The sequence below is a fragment of the Homo sapiens genome, chromosome 2, assembly GCF_000001405.40.
Source record: "Homo sapiens chromosome 2, GRCh38.p14 Primary Assembly".
Taxonomy (NCBI): Eukaryota; Metazoa; Chordata; class Mammalia; order Primates; family Hominidae; genus Homo; species Homo sapiens.
The window spans coordinates 12,485,179-12,503,383 of record NC_000002.12 but is presented as its reverse complement, the minus strand read 5'-3'; the positions used below and the strand labels follow the sequence as shown (position 1 = coordinate 12,503,383).

The window sequence follows — 18,205 nt, the reverse complement described above, 5'->3', positions numbered from 1 at the left end:
GAGATTTCAATGTTAAATCCCTTCAATTTTTATAAAATAATTAACATACAGGAATGGGAAAAGCACGTCACTAATAACGGAGAGAAGAGCCCTTAAGTTTGAAAGGTAGGCTCCTACTGAGGGGCCTGAGAATTTAAAGGGTAATTGTTCGATAAAAAGAGAATCATGGCTGCCATGTTATCTATTTCTATGGCATACTTATTTAAAACCGTCATCTAGAGAGCACGATTAAAGTATGTTAAACCCAAGTCATCTGTTTCCTTTTCCCTGGATTTTTGGGTGATTCTTTTGACAATTCTGGGTCCCACTGACTTAGACTTGTGGTTTTAAGCTATTATTGGTGAACCTCAAACCAGATGTTTCACGTGGGAGAGAGGCAATGTGGGAAGGCATGGTGGCATTTACATGCAGAGGCAGAAAGGTTGAATCAGCAAAGATTTCTGAGTCGTCTCATGCTCAGATATGACGTGCAGAGCAGTATCGTGGGGGCCACACCACGAATCTGGGAACCTGACTTCCAGGGCCAGCCCTGGTTCTGTCTTGCTGTTGTGTGGCTTTCAAGGGGCAAGTTACTTCCTCTACCTCAGGCCCTATGTCCTTCATTTGAAAGCTTTCTGCCAGTTGCCAATTCTCTAATTCCCTTTTCAATTCCAAGTTGTCTGATGTCAACTTTGTGTCCCATTTGCCCCCTTCCAGAATGTTCTTGCACACACCTCGGTCTGGTAACTCATTTCTTGAATTCTTTAGTTCATAGATTTGTATACATTCATCTTCTCAGCAGCAGTGCCTTCCCCTGACTTCCTGAGTCCACACATTATTCAAGCTTCAGTTACTCTTTCCCTCAGGGAGAGACTTTGGTTGACTTCTGGTCATGTTCTAATTCACCAATACAAAATTTTGATTCCTTAAGAAATCTAAATTCATTAAATATTAGGCTTATGCAGGATCCTCAGAAATCCACTAATTTTACATGGAGAGTAAATGAGGACGGCATAGACTTGACAGATAATAGAGATTCCACAATTTTTTTCAATTGTGTTGAATATATTTCTAGAACTTAATAGAAAACATCTATTTAGAATTTCCCTCCAAGACATAAGTTTTCTCTTCTTCCTAGCATTCCCTCCTTACTATTAGAGTTCATGGTAACCTTGAGAAATTAAAATGTTGCAAAGCCCATGCCCTCACCTCCACGGAGACACTGATAGGGAGGTGGTGTAAAGAATACTGGGATTAAAACTCAAGCTCTGTCTCTGACATTCATTCACTGTATGACCTTAGGAACATCAATTATCTTGTAAGGGTAAACTCTCTGTTTCCTTTTTCCTACTTCTCTGTTCAATTCCTAAGTGTGAAACCACTGGCGTATGAAGGCCCTGTGTAAATTGCAAGGAGCTGTACAAATGCAAGCTACTTTTGATAGGCAGAGAGGCCAAGTGCCTGCATGTGATGTAGTAGTTGCATGTGTGTGTAAGCAGGGGGTGTTATATATTTCACAACTGCTTGACTGAGATATAATTCACATGCCATATAATTCTTCTATTTAAAATGTATTTTTAATCAGTGAGATGTTCACTTCTGCCAAATTTATGTGGCACTAAGGCATCTTCTTTTCTTTTTATTGGCTTTATTGTATAGCTGGTTTCATCCAGGCTCATAGAAGCAAAAGCTCTGTCAGGTGACCTGGTTTGCAAGGCCCCAGCACCCCCGGCTTTCGGTATGAGTCGTCCTGATGTTCTTTTGCCTGTTCAGTCAGTGGAGGGGCAGGAAGGGGAAGGGTGGAGGAGAGTTCCCACCCTTTCCTGCCTAACAGCAGAGACCTCAAACCTGCACCAGCAAACAAAGGAGTAAGGGTTTCATGTATTTTGTGTTTCTTATTGCCTGATCCTAAACTTAAAACCATCTTTCATCTTGTTAAATTGTCAACTGTCCTTCTTTCTGTGTTTTTAAAATTATTTTAACAAGTCAAAATTGCCTGACTACTTGCAAGAGTACATCAGTAATACAAAATTACTACCAGAACAGAAAGTGGCATCAATAAATATCTGCATCCTATTCAGCTTTAGACAATGATTGTTAAAATTAACCATTGTTACTAATTTAACATGTAACTTACGACATGGAATACCTTTTCTCCCTACTAAGGCAAAAAAAAAAAAAAAGGACTCCAATTGGTCTTGACAGTACATGAGCCATTTTTATTGGAACACAGCATTATTTTTCAAAATTAATCTTGTTCATCACATCTAAAGTGGCTCCAGACCAAAACATAAGAGAGCTGCCAATTGATAGATCATTGACAGTGCTGGCTGCACTGTGACAGCTAAGACAGAGCCCCCAGGTAGCAGGGAGGTGAAAGGCCCTGTTGAGAGCTGAAGCTCAAACTTGTAGACTCTTTGTTCCTCTAACTCTCTCTAGCTTGGATTCTTCAGTCCTTTCTCAGGAGCTCAGTTTCCTCCCTAAACATTGGAAGAGAGTCAGGGTCTCTTCAATGCCCCGTGAGTTGTGGGAGGCTGCATTTCCACAATTCTAAGACCCAGCAGAACAAGAAGATGCACAGCCCCCATGTGTCTGCAGAAAAATGGGTGCCTATAGGCATGAAAAGTCAGACATGTCGAGACTTATCTCATTCCTTTCACCTAATTTTATAAATTCAAGGACATTTCCCAAGCTTTCTGCATATTCATAAAGAACACAGCAAAATTTGTCATTAAGTTTGATCGCCTCTTCTTTCAGCACCTGAGACTGTCTCCTTTCCACCCATACACCGTCAGATGTTACTTGGCATTAATGGAGTTTTGAGTCTATACCAGAAACAGATGAGGCAAGTTTGCTGTGTGGTATAAAGCTGACCCATGCTCTCTGACGTTGAGCAGCAAATGAGGACATATACATATATATGCATTTTTTCACAGTAAAGAAGCCATTTTTATATCAATTATTTCATCGGATCCATACTGCTACTTTATGAGGTTATGATATGAACGAGATAACGGAGGCTCTAAGACATTGGGCAGGCTGGGTGCGGTGGCTCATGCCTGTAATCCCAGCACTTTGGGAGGCCGAGGAGGGTGGATCACCTGAGGGCAGGAGTTGGAGACCAACCTGGACAATGTGATGAAACTCTGCCTCTACTAAAAATACAAAAAAAAAATTAGCCAGGCATGGTGGCAGGTGACTGTAATCCCATGTACTCGGGACACTGAGGCAGGAGAATTGCTTGAACCCAGGAAGCACAGGTTGTAGTGAGCCGAGATCACATGAAAAATGCACTCCCGCCTGGGCAACAGAGAGAGACTCCATCTCAAAAACCAAAAAAAAAAAAAAAAGAAAAAAGAAAAAAAAGACATTGGGCAACTAATGGAGGGGCGGCAGCAGAGCAGGGGGTGAACCAGGTGCCCTGGCTCCCGAGTCCAGCCTTCTGTCCAAAGCACCTTCTTCCTTTGGACAAATGCCAAAGCAGCTAAAATGCAGAGCAGATGGTACATAAAAAGTAAGTGCTCTGGGGGCACCAAGAAGGAAGGTGAAACCCAAAGCTTCCTCTTAAAGACAACGCTTGTCCCTTAGTTATATATTTATCTACAGACCTTTGCACAGAGCCTGAACAACGGGAGCATCATGAATGCTTGTTGAGGGGATGCTAAGAGCATGATGAGATGAGGAAGGTCTTACGAAGGAGGTGACATTGAGATGGACAAATAATGCTGGCACTTTGGAGGCAGGGAGGGCCTTTCCAAAGTTCTACAGATAAATGATGAATGGAAAATAGATACTCCAAGCATGAAAAATTAATCCATGTAGCTGGAGAGCTGGGATTATGAAGGGGAAATGAAGAAGCAAAATCCACATTATATTTGCTGAGAAACGTAAGTGTTCAAACAAGAAATTTGAACACTGTTCTCTAGACAATGAAGACCCTAAATCTAATGGTTTTGAGTGAAGTATTGACGTTTTCATGTGAGCAAATAAAAGATTAATTACAATAATCAGGCATTTAGTGGGCACATGGACAGGCATTTCTCTGGGCATATAGAGATTCATGCCCCATTAGGGACAGGACTCTGTTGACTGTTAGTAAAGCTCCCCTTGTTTGCTGCCTCATATTTGAGAATATATCTCTGGAATATCTTCTCCTCATCTCTTTCGTATGCCTTCCTCACTAGCACATTTACTTATGAGTAGGGTGGCCAATTCGTCTTGGTTTGTCAGGATGCTCCTGGTTTTAGCACTAAAAATCGTGCTTCTCAGAAAAACCCCTCAGTCCCTGAATGCATTTACTATGTATATGCTAACATCTCCCAAATCCCTAGCTCCAGTATAGTCTTTCCTCCTGAAATCCATACCCATGTATCCAGCAATGTTAAGGCAACTTCATTTGGGTGACTCAGAGTTAATTAAAACCTGAGATGTCTCTGACTATCCCATAACTTTCCTGCTTTCCAAAACAGCTCCCCAGCTATTGTCCCAACACAATCCACCCAGCTGCTCAAGCTGGAACCACAGAAGTGTCTTGTGACTCCTCTCTCTGACTCATCCCACTCACATCCAATCACCTCCTGAGGACCTCTCAGACATTCACCTTTCTCCTGTCCCACCGCCTCTATCCCAGAGCAAGCCACTGTTGTCTCTTCCTTAAATTTTTATAACAGAATCTTAATTTGGTCTCTTGCTCTTCTGACAAATATTTGTTACCACACCAGAATGATGATTTTAAAATGCACATATTATCCTGCAACTATGCTCTTTAGAAATCTTCAGAGGTTTATATCCAAACTCCTTGACCAAACTCACAAGGTCTACCATATCTGAGGATTGCCTACGTTCCTAGGCCATCTGCAAATAGAGTCCCACTCACTCCTGCATGAGGGGTAGGGAAAAGGCACAGGCTGGCATGTGATGCCTTTTCCCTTTCTCCTCACTAGCAATGTGAACTCAGTGAAAAATAATTCTTCCTTCTTCCTATTGGGGGAGTAGGTTTACAAATGCTCCACCAGCTCCCATTTTCCCAAAAAGAGACTTTTTATTAATCGAATTAGTGAGAACTCGAATTTATTAAACTATATTTTACTAGCAGGCAGGGTCTCTGTGTTAAATGCAGCTCTCACTTGGTATTCTGACACCTCCAAAGGTATACACGGCTCTCAACTTCTGTACTGCAAAATCATAAATCTGAATCAAGGTATTCTCTCTTTTTCTCTCTCTCTCCCTCTTTCTTTCTTTCTCTCTCCCTGCTACCCACCACTCTCCACCACCAATTTTCTCTGAAGACCTCAGCATACCTGGGTATACAGATCTAAAATTTAAATTCAAAGACAGGAAGTCCCAATTGAACTTCAAGTCTAAACCACAATTTCTTTTTCTCCCTCAGTTTTTTTATTCTGAGAGTTTTCAAATATCCAGAAAAGTTGAAAGAATAGATTAAGAGTACCCATAAACCAACAACCTACATTTAACTACTAGTAACATTCTTCTTTATCTCACTATATTTCTGAACCATTGAAAATAAGTTGCAACCGTCATGACACTTCACCCATAAATACTTGCTCATGCATGATTTAAGAGCATGTATATTCTCCTTCACAACCTCAATGTCATTGTCACACATAAGACAGCTAACAATAATGCCCTAATGTTGAATATCCAACTCAAATCCAAGTTTTCATAACTGTCCCAAGGATGTTCATTATAGTTTTTATTTTTTAAGTCAGGATCTATTTAAGATTTACACATTGCATATGGTGATGTTTTTGAAGCTCCATTTATTGGGCATTTACTATGTCCCAGAATACACAGCTCATTCTATTTAATTTTCACAAGAAAATTTGAGATAGCTTTTGTTATTATATAAAATGATGATAAAATACTTAGCTTTGAATACTCTGATGTATTTTAGTTATTCACTATTACAATCACAGAATCTATCACAGGGCATTAGATGTACTAGGTACTAACATATAACCACAATTTCCAATCCAGGGTGTACCAAAGCTGTGTTCTGAAGTATCAAATGCCTGCTGTGATGGTTAATACTAAGTGTCAACTTGATTGGATTGAAGGATGCAAAGTATTGATTCTGAGTGTGTCTGTGAGTACGTTGTCAAAGGAGATTAACATTTGAGTCAGTGGGCTGGGAAAGGCAGACCCACTCTTAATCTGGGTGGACACCATCTAATATTCTAGCCAGCACGGCTAGAATATAAGCAGGCAGAAAAACGTGAAAAGAGAGACTGGTCTAGCCTCCCAGCCTACATCTTTCTGGATGCTTCCTGCCCTTGAACATCAGACTCCAAGTTCTTCAGTTTGGGACTCAGACTGGCTTTCCCTGCTCCTCAGCTTGCAGACGACCTATTGTGGGACCTTACGATCATGTGAGTTAATACTTAACAAACTCTTATATGTATATATACACTCCCCTTCTATTTCATATATATAATATATGTATATATATATAATATATATATATACACACACATACTCCTATATATAGGAGTATATATATGAAATATATATTATTTATATAATATGTAATATTTTATTATTATATAAATTAGTTCTCACTAATAAAACTAATACTCTATTAGTTTTGTCCCTCTAAAGTACCCTGACTAATACACCTGCCTTTTGATGAACAAACTTTACTTCCCCAGTTAGCAATGGCTCCGTTTATTCACTCCATGTGTCAGAACTTCGGGGGGACACAGCTTAAATGTGATTCTCTCCATTATTCCATCCATGACCACCACTATTAGATCCCCTACCAATATTCTTCTATAGCAACCCATTCTCCTTAGGTGACAGATGCCAACTTATAATTCTTTGTTCAGACTGTCTTCCCCACTAGAATGTAGGCTTCATGAGGTCAAGAATGGTGACAGTTTTATTTGTTTCTATATCCTCAGTCTTAGGCAAAGAAGTTAGTGCATATTAGTACTCAACAAATATTTATGGAATTGGTGCAGAAAACTATGGTTCCTGAACTTTCTGAAAGCAGAACTTTCTCAGTTCTGCTGGAGGACTGAGGATCAGGGAGAATAAGCATGGGAAAGGTCTTTGAAAATCTAATAAGCTACGTGGCTACAAGTGAGTATCACGACTTCCTTTCTACACATTGAAACTTAATTTGGAACGGTGCTTGTGTATCGGCATCAGCCTTCACCAGGCCTCCTCTGTGGGGCAGAAATCATTTATCTTTTACTCAACTTTTATGTCAGAGCGTGTATCTTGGAGCTCCTATGACACACAGATTTGGGTTGTGCTTGATGGAATGTGTCCTGTAACTACAGAGATTATGAATATTCTAACCCCAGATTACCTCTACTTTCAATGGAATATGAAAGTCTGTCTTTCTCTCTCTCTTAACAAGACAAACGTGTATTCAACCAAAGTATTTATTTATCCAATCAGATCCATTATTAGCAGGTTTTTAAAAATGGCCACAGGATTGAAGAGATGAAGTAACCGTCATCTGTAAGATTTGGCTAATGACAAGAGCAAGCAACATCCCTCCCACTCACATGCCTTGCTTCTTAGGGAGCTGCTGTTGTGGATGGAAGTGCTGTTCTAGGGTATAAGTCCCCTTCAAGTACAAACATAATTTAGAGCTATCTTAGAAAAGTTGTCACTCATATAACCTGCTTGTAAGTAAACTCAGGAAACTGAGGAAACGACATTGCTTTTGGTGTCAAGGCAAAAAATTCCAGTGAGTCACATATGTACCCATTACTTCCTGTTATACACACACATGCACACCCATGTACAAAAACACATAGTGGAACCACATTACACACAAAGACAATATTCTTAAATGATGCAGATGAAATGAAAGTCACATAGAGTCAAAATGACCCTAGGTTATCCCTTCTTTAGTTGAACCCCCAGTGAAGCCGTTACATTGATTCCAGGATCCAGGTTGTGAGAAAGCAATGGACCTAGAAGGATTCGTGGTGAGGTGAGGGGCTTGGCCTCTCGAGGCAGCAGCCACTCATACCCACAGACAGAACTGCAGAGTCTCATTTTCCACCTAGGACACGCGCTCACTGACTGAAACAGTGGGGGAGTGTCTCCCGCTGCTCCCTCTTCATTTATCCCATTCTCTCTCTCTCTCTCTCTCTTTCTCTCTCTCTCTGTTGTCCAGAAAAATAGAACTACTATTACATATATATGTCCCAATAGTAATATTATTCTATATACTAATAGTTTTCTATACTTATGTACTATTAGTAATCATATTCTATATACTAATGGATATATATAAAATATATATATCATATTAGCAATAGTATCTAGAATACTATAGAATATATATTCATTATATATGTATTATGGATATATATTTCCATTATATATATATATATTACAGATATGTATTTCCGTTTTTTATATGTATGTATATCATATATAGTATATAGTATATAATAGATAGTATAATCTATATAGTAATGAATATATATCCATTATATAGCATATATGAATATAGAAAGAATATATACCCATTATATATTATATATGGATATCCATTAGTATATAGAATACCATATATGTATATATAGTGTATATGTAGTATATCTACATGTAGATATAGATATATGGAACCTTCCTAAATGCAGAGTTATGTTGTATCTATTAAATAATGGATATATATTATATATGTATATCCATTAGTATATAGAATACTATTACTATTGGGTATATATTATAAATATTGTAATGGATCCATTATAATATATATCCATAAATATATAAAAATATATCTTTTATTTCTAATTTTTATCCATTAGTAATAGTATTCTATATACTAATAGATATACATACTATATATATATGTGTGTGTATATATGTAAAATATATATCCTATTAGTAATAGTATCCTATATACTTATATATTAATGGATCGATCTCTCTGGACCCAGGAAAGCCAATGGTATAATTTTAGTCTGAGTCCAAATGCCAGAGAACCAGACAAGCTAACGATATAAGTTCCAGTCTGAGCCTGAGTCCAAAGGCAGAAGACCAATGTGGCAACTCGGAGTCAGGCAGAGGGAGGTGATCTTTCTTATTCCCCTTTCATGTTCTATCCAGGCCTTCAGTTGATTGTATGAGACCCACTCATATGAAGAAGGGCATTGTGCTTTACTCAGTCTATGAATTCATCTCATCCAGAAACACCCTCACAGACACACCCAGAATGATATTTAACCAAATAATATCTGGGTACTGTGTTACCTAATCATATTGACACATAACATTAACGCACACTCTCTCTCTTTCTCCCACCTTTTGTCTCTCATTTTTAGAAGACAGAACATAGTTAAATTAACATTAAAAACCATAGTGCAAAGTGTATGCAACTTGTTTTGGGAGCTGAGAGGAGGAAGCCATGACTTTGCCTCAATTTGGGGCAGTGTCAGGGAAGACAACACAGAAGAATTCACTTTCAAGTACTCCTTGAAGGCTGAGCCTGTCAAGTGGGGAGGTTTGGTGGATGAGGGCAGCAGCCTGGCCAGTGCTAGGAGACTCTCTGTACATATGATCTGAATGAACTAATGGCTTCAGCTGAAAGAATCTTCTCTCAGAGCAGTTGACATTTTCTTCAGATATGTTTTCTCCTCCTCTTACACGCCTCAGTTTCTCTCCAGGAAAGGCCTTGTGACCTCAAGAATAAAGTCCCACTTTATGGAAGAAAAGGTGCTGGTTCAGCAGCCAGACAATCTGAGTCTTACTGGATCACCTTGCACAAATTATGTGACCTCAACAAGTCTCTGCCTCTTTATTTGTAAAAAAATAAATACATAAATTAAACCCACCACTGTTCAGTATTGATGTGATTTAAGAAGACGCACATGAGAGAGACTGTAGCTCTGTGCCCAACACAGAAAGATACTCATAAACATTTAGTCCCTCTCCCTCTCAGTGCATGGGTGAGCTGTCCCTACAGGGAGAAGGGAGCAGAGCCTCTGAGCCAACACTAGAACTATTGGGGAGTGCAGAGGAGGAGGCAGCCCGACTCACACAAGAGATAAGAATGATGTGGAATGTGTTTTCTGAAAGCCACCTGGTGTGACAGGGAAGGAGGCCAAGCGTGGAGTGAAGAGCCTATCAGCCAAACCCCTCAGAGAGGAAAGGTCCCAGGCATTGGCGAGGAAAGCCAAAGTACCTCCCATCCCCACCCTGACTTCCCGTGTTGCCTTGGTCCTGTTACTCATCAGAAGCTTGAAAGGGGAGCACACTCATCTCCTGATTACAGCATAGCACTGGGCAAGGGAGGAAGCAGAGGCCTCAAAGAGCCTGTTCTCCCCGGGCTACAAGGGCGGGTTCCACCCTCGCAAGGCGGCCCCATACAAGGCGTCTTAGGGCTAGGAGCTCTTGTCTTCTTCTAACTGGCATCCCACCACATTCCGGTTTCCCCAGAAGGCCATCCAAAGACACATTCTTTTTTTTTTTTTTCTTTCTTTTTTTTTTTTTTTATTATACTTTAAGTTTTAGGGTACATGTGCACATTGTGCAGGTTAGTTACATATGTAGACATGTGCCATGCTGGTGCGCTGCACCCACTAACTCGTCATCTAGCATTAGGTATATCTCCCAATGCTATCCCTCCCCGCTCCCCCCACCCCACCACAGTCCCCAGAGTGTGATATTCCCCTTCATGTGTCCATGTGATCTCATTGTTCAATTCCCACCTATGAGTGAGAATATGCGGTGTTTGGTTTTTTGTTCTTGCGATAGTTTACTGAGAATGATGATTTCCAATTTCATCCATGTCCCTACAAAGGACATGAACTCATCATTTTTTATGGCTGCATAGTATTCCATGGTGTATATGTGCCACATTTTCTGACAAATGGGATCTAATTAAACTAAAGAGCTTCTGCACAGCAAAAGAAACTACCATCAGAGTGAACAGGCAACCTACAACATGGGAGAAAATTTTCGCAACCTACTCATCTGACAAAGGGCTAATATCCAGAATCTACAATGAACTCAAACAAATTTACAAGAAAAAAACAAACAACCCCATCAAAAAGTGGGTGAAGGACATGAACAGACACTTCTCAAAAGAAGACATTTATGCAGCCAAAAAACACATGAAAAAATGCTCATCATCACTGGCCATCAGAGAAATGCAAATCAAAACCACTATGAGATATCATCTCACACCAGTTAGAATGGCAATCATTAAAAAGTCAGGAAACAACAGGTGCTGGAGAGGATGTGGAGAAATAGGAACACTTTTACACTGTTGGTGGGACTGTAACCTGGTTCAACCATTGTGGAAGTCAGTGTGGCGATTCCTCAGGGATCTAGAACTGGAAATACCATTTGACCCAGCCATCCCATTACTGGGTATATACCCAAAGGACTAGAAATCATGCTGCTATAAAGACACATGCACACGTATGTTTATTGCGGCATTATTCACAATAGCAAAGACTTGGAACCAACCCAAATGTCCAACAATGATAGACTGGACAAAGACACATTCTTTAGAAAGCTCCATTCCTGGTAGTAACATGCTGAGAAGAGAACTTTCTCCTCGTCCTGAGTTTGCTGCCTGGGGTCTGGTAGGCAGCTCCTGACCACAGAAGGGGCTCTCAGGAGACAGAGGTGCCAGCATGGTGGGGGGTACTACCACTTGGGGCCTACAGAGGGGCTGCTATGCAGAGCTTAGGGAGGAGCCTGCTCCTTTCCTGACAAGGACTCACATCTGACAGAACCAGCTCTGGTCTGTGAAGTCTCTCCAAGAAACCTGGACTCTGCCTCTCTATCCTGGCCAGGCCAGTCCGGCACCTGTCAACCAAGCAGAGCACCCTTGTCCTGCACGCTCTCCACATCCATGAAAGGGCCTTTCCAGACCCTGCACTCACATGAATGTTTTTCTCTCACTAAAGTTTTTCCTTTTAAAAATCTCTTATTAAGGTATGATTGCCTTATAAAAAGCTATACATATTTAATGTATCCATCTCAATGCATTTGGGGTAAATGTACAACCGCAAAACCATCACCATCAAGGCCACAAACCTAGCCATCACCTCCCAAGTGTTTCCTCCCACCCCTTCTATCATTATTATTATTGGATTTTCTTTGTTTCATTTTCTGAGCTAAGAACACTTAATAAAAGATCTACCTTCTTAACATAGAGTAAGTATACAAACAGTATCGTTAACTGTGGGTACTGCCGTATAGTAGACCTCCAGAACTTACTTATCTTGCATAAAAGAAACTTGGTACTCTTTGACCATCTCTCATCAACCCCCATCAGCCCCAGGAAATCACCATTCTGCTCTGTTCCTGCGAGTTTGAGTGTTTTTGATTCCACGTTTCAATGAGACCGTGCGATATTTGTCTCTCTGTGTCTGGCTTATTTCACTTAACACAATGCCTCTAAGCTTTTGTTCATCTACGGCTTCTGCTCAGAATGCATTTTACACTTCTTTATTTATTAGAAATCTACTTATCTTTCAGGGCCTTTACCATTGCCTCATTCTGCCTCCAGGCTTCCCAAATGTACAGTCGTGTTTAGCCCTGCCCTTCTCAGCTTACACCTGCACTTCAGTTACGCCTATTTTTGTTGTATTCATTCACCTTACCATGTGATATAATGGAGTTGAGTGTTGATGTGTTCACGTCCCCATTGGACTGGATGCTCTTTGAGGAAAGGGAGCTCAGAGGAGGAGGAGAGAAGTGGGAGGAGTTCCCTTTGAAGTCCCTTAAGGGCAGGATTGGCATTAGAGTGAGGTAAGTAAAACATTTGTCTTGGGTGTGAATTTTAAGTATGCCAAAAACTCAGAAATCAAGATAAATATTTGAATGTGGCATATTAAAAAAAAAAGTCAACGTTATGGCCAGGCGCAGTGGCTCACACTTGTAATCCCAGCAGTTTGGATCACTAAAGGTCAGGAGTTTGAGACTGGCCTGGCCAACATGGCAAGACCTATCTCTACTAAAAAAAAAAAAAAAAATTAGCCGGGCATGGTGGCAGGTGCCTGTAATCCCAGCTACTCTGGAGACTGAGGCAGGAGAATTGCTTGAACCCAGGAGGTGGAGGTTGCAGTGAGCCAAGATCGTGCCATTGCACTCCGGTGTGGGCAACAGAGCGAGACTCCATCTCAAAAACAAACAAACAAAAAATCAAAATTAATTCAAAACTCCAAGATAAATATAATATTGAATTTTGTGTTTTTTAAAACCAGGCTGTTGTCATACTTTGTAGCCCTGCCTCATTGTGCAGTGGGAACAATCATTTCTCGTCAGTCCATGGTTCCAAGGCTTCGTGGTCCTCACAGTCCCTCCTGGGTGAGCTTAGGAGGAGGGTTAAGCACGGCGCAAGAACAGACTGGACAATACAGGGCTTTTGTAAAGTCATTTTCATAAAATTTCAAATCTTTTTTAGCTTTTTCTATATGGATCAAAATATGGTAGAATATTTTCATAAGTATGTATGGGGCACACATTTTTCCATCGTTTCTTTTGGCTCAGGCACTGACATGACTGTGCAGCTAAGCTGCAGAAAGTACACTTGCTCTAGGATTTACTACGCAGAGAAGATTTATGTCAGCAGAAAAGGACCCTGAGGACTCCACTCCCCACCCACTAGTCAGAGAGTCTCGATCCAAGAAGTCTGCCTAGACGTACATTATTCAAATATTTTGTTGAGAATTTGTTCTGAACCAGGCACTGTACTACATAGTTCAGAAATTGATAAATTTCCTGATAAATGCCCTGCCCTCCCAATGCTTCCAGTTTCTCATACTTTTTTGTGTGTCACTGGGAGGGGTTGAGGCAGGGGATAAAGAGATGGAGAGTAAAAGACAATCATACTATGGCATCATGAGTGTGAAAGGGACAACAGGAATGCAGAGGAGTCAGGAGCCACACATTCTGCCTTCTCCGGCCGAGGCAATGTTACTAGAAAGGGCAGTGAGACAGGACAGATAGGGGAGCAGGTGTTACTGGCAGATGCACAAGCAGGTAGGCAGTAGTGGTCCTCCTGACTCACTCCAGGGGAAACGGGGGCCTCGGTGGCATATGGAGACTCCCAGAAGCAAGAAGAGGCTATGTGAATTCAGAGATCTCAGTCTGGCTGTCCCTTAAGGTAGGAGAGTAGAGTTTGGGGCTCTCTGATTCCCACTAAGGAAACTGGACCTGAGTTGCTGGGTTGTAACTCTTCCAAGGAGCTCAGAACAAAACAGTGACATGGTCAGTTGTGCATTCCACTTGCCTCCAGGCCCACTGAGGGTGTGAAGCAGGGTGGGGCTGGCTGGAGAGGAGGGAGAGTAGCAGGCTGGCCTGTTGGAGACATGCTCCCTGGTAATGAGAGGAAATAGAAAATGTAATTAACATGTCTGCCACCAGAAACAAGAGCTAAATCTATTACTCTCCTCCTCCCGCTTCCGTTATGAATTATTGTGTTTCAATTACAATTTCCAAAGTATTTCCTTAAGGAAATATGTTAGGGTTCCTCAATGGGAAAAGAGGGAATGGAACCATGAAAGTTTAATTTATTGCAGTGCCTGCTTTTAGAAAAGGAAGAAGAAGATGAAAGAGAGAGCGGAAAGGCAGGCAAATTGAGAGGAGTTGGACTGGGTCACCTGCACTAGGCAGAGAGCAGCTGGGCAAGAGATGCTGGAGGTGCCTGAATATTTACGTTGTCAGTTCACAACATCTGATGATGGAAGAGGCAAGCGTACCATTTCATCTCTGGCTCCTTTTAGTCTGCTCCCTTGTCCTTCTGCAACAATTTAAAGACGAGAGTAAGCTTGGTCTGAAGGAGAGCCACGTTCTGCTCTGTCACCAGGCTAGATGCTGGGACGCAAGGGTGTAAATGAGCAGGATGTGGCCCCGCCCTTAAAAAGCTCACAGTCTAGCAGTGAAGGGAAAGGAAGCTAAAACAACAAGAAAGGAAGTGTGGACAAAAGAGCTTCTGCTTGGGGCTGCAAGAGCAAGCCCATGCCATTCGGTAGGTAGGATGCCAGGCCGAAGAAATAAATGATTTGTCAGGCTCTGATTCACACGTGAGGCAAGAATTCTCTCAGAGGAGAGACATTTCCAATGTCTTTGGAAAGGATGGAGGCATTCAAGGTGCATTCATTCACTCATTCACACGTTAACATGTAACTGGGAACTCAACCAAGAATAAGCCTCGGCCTTCTCCTTGAGGATAGTGGGCTACTGGGAGAGACAAATCAGGAATAATTACAAAGCCAGGAGGTTGGAGCCAAGATGGTGATATGTGTAAGGTGTTACAGGATCTCAGACGAAGAGCAGTGAATTCTGTCTGGGAGGAAACCAAGTTTCCAGGAGAAAGAGAGCCTTGAAGTGAGTCTTCAAGGAAACTAGAAGTTTTCCTGGTAAATGAATAAGAAAAAGGCAGAGAACGTGTCCTGGCTAAAGCTGCAGCCCAGGCTGAGGCAGAAAGACAAAAGCAGCATGGTGATTCCAGGGAGCCCTGGATTGATGTGGGGAGAGAAAGGAGGAGAGTCAGGCCCGGTCCGGAGGGCAGAGGGCCATGCACTGGAGCTTGGATTTCATCTTGATGACACTGGAGAACTCATGGGTGTTATTCAGCATGAGCATGACATGTGGGTTCTAGAAAGACTACAAGGGTGGCTCCCTGCAGGATGGCCAGGAGAGGAGGGAGACTGGTGTTCTAGAGTCTGCGGGAATCCACAGCAGTCAAACGAGAGAGACTTCTGTCCAGAGACACATTATCCCTGCAGTCCACACATGGGGCGAATGCCTGGGAAACAACTGAATTTAGGGAGAGGAAAGAGAAACACATTGTTTATTTCTTAATTAGGAGCTGATTCGTAATTACTTCCACCCCATTTCTTTTTATTTTCACCTATTGACTTTGTTTGATCCCTAAATCAACCCTGCAAGACAACCAGCATGTTCCCCTTTTAGAGGAGGGGAAGCTAAACCTCAGAGAAGTTCAAGTTTGTTTAAGGCTTTGCATAAAGTGAGTTGTGGACATGGAAACAGAACTCATGTCTTTCTCACTTCAGAAACAGGACTTCCTTCCTTCCATCCTCCCTTCCTCCCTTCCTCTCTTCCTCTCTCGCTCAACCCCAGCACTTTGGGAGGCCGAGGTGAGTGGATCACCTGAGGTCAGGAGTTCAAGACCAGTCTGGCCAACATGGCAAAAGCCCATCTCTACTACAAATACAAAAAATTAGCCGGGCGTGGTGGCAGGTGCCTGTAATCTCAGTTGCTCAGGAGGCTGAAGCAGGAGAATTGCTTGAACCTGGGAGGTGGAGGTTGCGGTGAACTGAGACCATGCCACTGCACTCCAGCCTGAGCAACAGAGCAAGACTCCAAAACAAAAAAACAAAAAAAGGAAAGAAAGAGAGAAAGAAAAGAAATAAAGGTGTTTGGTAAGGCATACGACCACTGCCTAATGGAAGACAGACATCTGAATAAGCTCCCAGGGGAGGAGGGCTAGATAGACGTAGGGCTATGTCCTAGTGTTCATGCAGGACAGAGGAAGCAACATCCCCCTCTGTCTAGGGGTTCAGGTAAGGCTTTGGGAAGGAGGTGATATTTGCTTTGAGGATGCATAGGAATTCTCCAATTGCAAAACACTTTCTTAAGCACAGAAATTCACCACAAGCTTTACTTAGTGAAGAATCTACCTTGATCCCATGATGAGTCAGACTGGAATTCCCTTTCATCTGCAGCTAGTTCACTGGTTTGCTGCTGAAGCTTTTCGTGGTGACCTTCTCTTTTTCATTCTCGGATGTGCTTCATTCTGGCCACTTTTCTTGCCTAAAAAGCCCACGCCAAGTCTACATGAGTGCCTGCACAAGGCCACCAAAAACAGGTGGGTATGCCTGAGTGGAGTGGCCTAAAATGTATGTGCACCTCCACACTTACCTTCAGGGACTGGAGATAATGCCCTCAAAAAGAGCAGTCAGACAAGTCAATTCCAGTCCACTCTAAGCAGCAGCCAGAGAGGCAACTCCCTGAGCACAGGGGGAAGCAGCCCGACGTTGTAAAAGGATGCAGGCGAATAATTAAGTCACCGTTTACAAGAAATTCTAATCTTAGGGCAGTTCAAGGTAAAGACAGACACCAGCCAGGGACAGCCAAAAGCAACATTGCCAGAACATTTGGAGACAGGGCCTTCAGCCAGACACTGTTTTTTCTCTAAATACTGTCACCAAAAACTCAGTCAGAAAGTTTCTCTGTCCCCTGAGCAACCCCAGCATATTAGCAATAAAATAGTAAAAATAATTACTATGATATAGGATTGCCTCCTATGTGCTAGTCATTTGTTTATATTATTTAATTTTATGCCTCACCCACTGTTCCCCCAAAATATCTAAGTAGATATTATTACAGAAAAGGAAACAGAGAGGTTGGGTAATTGGCTGAAGTCACACAGTTAATAAGGAACAGAATTAACTTATGTCTAGAATGTGAACTCAAGACTATCTGCTTTTCAGATTCTTATTTTGTTTTGCCAAGCAGAAAAACTGTTTTGACAGACCAAGGTTTTATTTATTTCTGAATCACTACATCCAGATGAATGCATCACAAATATTTGGGGCTACCAAGATTTCTCTTCAAATGTGGTGAAAAATATGGTCAGACTTTCTCCACAAAAACTGCACATATGCAAATGGGAAGTTTTCTGTAAAATGTCAGGGTATTCACAGAGTTTTTTGGAAAACAATCTGCGAACTTCAGGTTAAGAAACCCCGACGAAAATCTTTTTTGTGAATTGATTTGGAATTATAGTTTGCAACCCTAAGTCATCATCCCCAGCAGGGCCTTGTGATCTGCCTGGGGCCTCCCTTACCGTTTCTACTCCTTCTCCAGTTCACTCTGGTGCAGAAGGTGGACCTGCTGGCCAACCAGATTCAGAGGGGACATACCCAGCTGTCACAGAGAGTTCTAGGTTGCTCTAATCTCACATTTCATTGACAGCTGGGGCATTTTACCTCTGATATCACCTGTGGCTTATCCAACTGTCCAGAGGCTGGGGAAACCCTGCAAGTTCCATAACCCGTTTTCACATTACTGATGGCAGAGATGAGAAGACAATAAATTTCTAACTTCTCACCATTTCCCAGACATGCCTTGCTCTTTCATGGCTCCAGGTCTTTGTACTTGTGTTTCCCTCTGCCGAAAGCATGTGTTCTTCTCCTAGCAAAGCCTATTCCTCGTTCGCAGGAGTGGAACATCACCTCCATTTGGGCATCAC

General features: G+C 41.9%; 2 long non-coding RNA genes across 2 annotated transcripts in view; both read right to left on the bottom strand.

The window, feature by feature from the left end:
* The window catches only part of MIR3681HG (MIR3681 host gene), a 571,233-nt gene that overhangs the window by 74,965 nt on the left and 478,063 nt on the right, over positions 1-18,205 (bottom strand). The gene's annotated exons all lie outside the window — the stretch shown is intronic.
* On the bottom strand, positions 12,057-17,101 carry LOC107985853 (uncharacterized). Its single transcript, XR_001739290.3, has 3 exons — positions 16,873-17,101; positions 16,632-16,764; positions 12,057-15,747 (listed from the first exon to the last, which is right to left on the bottom strand). It is a non-coding gene; the product is annotated as an uncharacterized LOC107985853 (long non-coding RNA).